We start from the raw sequence: 2,253 nt of genomic DNA, 5'->3' as shown, positions 1-2,253 counted from the left end.
CTATTGGAGAAATTAATAAAAAGGTACATTATATATGTTTTAAAAAGCTTATTAGTTGTAAAATAATACAGATACAAAAAACTGCATTAAATAAATGCTTAGTTTAATAAACTATTATAAGGTCAACACTTTGTAACCATGACCCAAATCAAGACAAAGAAATCTGCCAGACACCTCATAAACCCTCTATACAATCATTTTAACAACAATTCCCTTCCCTACACCCTCAAAAGTAATCTTTGTCCTCACTTTTATGGCAATCGCTTCTGAGCTTTCCTTTACAGTTTTATCACCTGATTATACATCCCTATATTTCATTTCCCCTGTTATTTTTATGTCTCTATTAGTCTACAGGTTACCCTTTGGTCTCTCCACATTTGTTTCTCATGTAATTTATTTGTTGAAGAAAACAAGTGTGTCCTATAGAGTTTCTTACTATCTGGATTTTGCTGATTGCATCTCTGTGGATCTACTGGATTGATCATTGGGTTTAATTTTTGGCAAGACAACTATAGAGATATTAATAGTATTGTATTCTTCTATCACAGCCATGTGATGTACGGTTGTGTCTTTACTTATGATAACAGCAAATGTACAATGCCTAGATCTATTAATTTATCTGAGTTGCAAAATAGTAATATTCTAATTTAATCATTCTTCATTTAGTTATTAGTTGAAATAATTCTATAAAGATAAAATTCACTCATCTACTGCTTGGTTATCAGGGATGAAACTCATATAGAAAAGACAGATTATTTTTTGCCCTCATTATTTACCAGTTTAAAAAATAAGTGGTTATTATTTTCAAAAATGACAAATTATTTTCTATCCTTATGAATTCATAAATTTAAACATATTTATTGAGCTTCAGTTCACCGAAAATATTATCCTTACTGAACATAAATTGTCTGATCTTTGTCCAGTGGGAAAATCATTAGTTCCTTTGTCCTTTTGACATAATCCTAATAGTTTTCTAGCTTCCTTGCTAACGAGGTATGTGTATGACACAATCTCCTAGGCTCATCTTGTACAAATTCTGCCCAGACCTAGAATCCTCTAATTTCCCAAGAATAGCTGTTTTCTTTTAGTGGGAAATAGTATTTCAAGATCATAATCTGGGTCCTAGAGATGTCATTGCTATTGGGTTGCTTTCTCTTTCTAAGCCTTTTCAGTACACGAGTATGAACTCACAATGTATATGATACTTCCAATTTAAATTCAGTACCACAGGATTTTTACTTGACCTTTTCTACCTGGCATTTATATTTACTTTCTTCCATGCCAGAATACTGATTCTAGAGAACACAGGGGATTCAAGAATTAGAAAATCACATAATTGCCCATGTGATTTATTTCATTATATATGAAACAGACTCAGCATTAGCAATTCTTCTACTATAAATATATATAGCACTCAGTATCAAGCTGTATGTTAATAACTCTCTAGTTAATTTGGTTTATTGGAATTTACTCTCACTAAATTCCTCAGAAAAAGCTCATGGGAAAAATATTCTCCAAGTCATTGAGTTTGCCTGAGCCCTTCATGTGAATGTCAATTTAGTTGGATATAAAATTTTTAGCTCACACATCTTTCCTTAATTATCTTAAATATATTATTCTATTTCCTTACAGTATAAAGCAATGTTGTAGGAAAGTCTACTGAAAGCCTGATATTGTCTATTATAAGTGATTTGATCTTTTTGCCTGGATGCCTAAATTTTTGTTTTTCTTCAAAGTCTAATAGTTTTATTAACTTTCTCTCAGTGTTGGTTATTTTGGGTCAGTTTCCTTAGTTATGTGGTGTGTAATTTCAATATGTAATTTAAACAATTGTTTTGGGAAACTTTTGAAATTATAGTTTTGGGTATTTTTTTGTTCCCTCATTTTGATTTTCTTTGGAGCCCTTATTATACGTATGTTGGATCTCCTTTGACTGCCTTCTAAATTTGTCACTTTCCCTCAAATCCTTAAAAAAATTTCCATTTTTATCCTTTCTGAGTGATATAACTTCATTTATAAATCTTCCTAATTTGGAATTATGTATTTTTCCACATCATGTGACATTTTCTTAGGTTTTTTTTTTAGCTTGTTAGAAATAGTGGGTTGTAGTTTTTATTTGAAGGGGGATGGGCCTGTATTAGTAGCATTTTTAAATTTTTTGTGAAGCTATTTTACTCTTTATTATTTTTTAAATAAGATTATACCTATGTCTTAGTACATTTTGTGTTGCTGTTACAGAATACCACAGACTGG

General features: G+C 30.7%; 1 protein-coding gene and 1 long non-coding RNA gene across 8 annotated transcripts in view; both read right to left on the bottom strand.

Annotated features, from left to right (window-relative positions):
- Window positions 1-2,253, bottom strand: part of KAZN (kazrin, periplakin interacting protein) — a 1,225,220-nt gene that overhangs the window by 898,546 nt on the left and 324,421 nt on the right. The window lies entirely within an intron of this gene.
- LOC107985467 (uncharacterized) overlaps window positions 1-2,253 on the bottom strand; it is a 53,718-nt gene that overhangs the window by 36,165 nt on the left and 15,300 nt on the right. The gene's annotated exons all lie outside the window — the stretch shown is intronic.

Source organism: Homo sapiens, chromosome 1, assembly GCF_000001405.40.
Source record: "Homo sapiens chromosome 1, GRCh38.p14 Primary Assembly".
Classification (NCBI taxonomy): Eukaryota; Metazoa; Chordata; class Mammalia; order Primates; family Hominidae; genus Homo; species Homo sapiens.
This window is presented reverse-complemented; position numbering and strand designations above follow the sequence as displayed.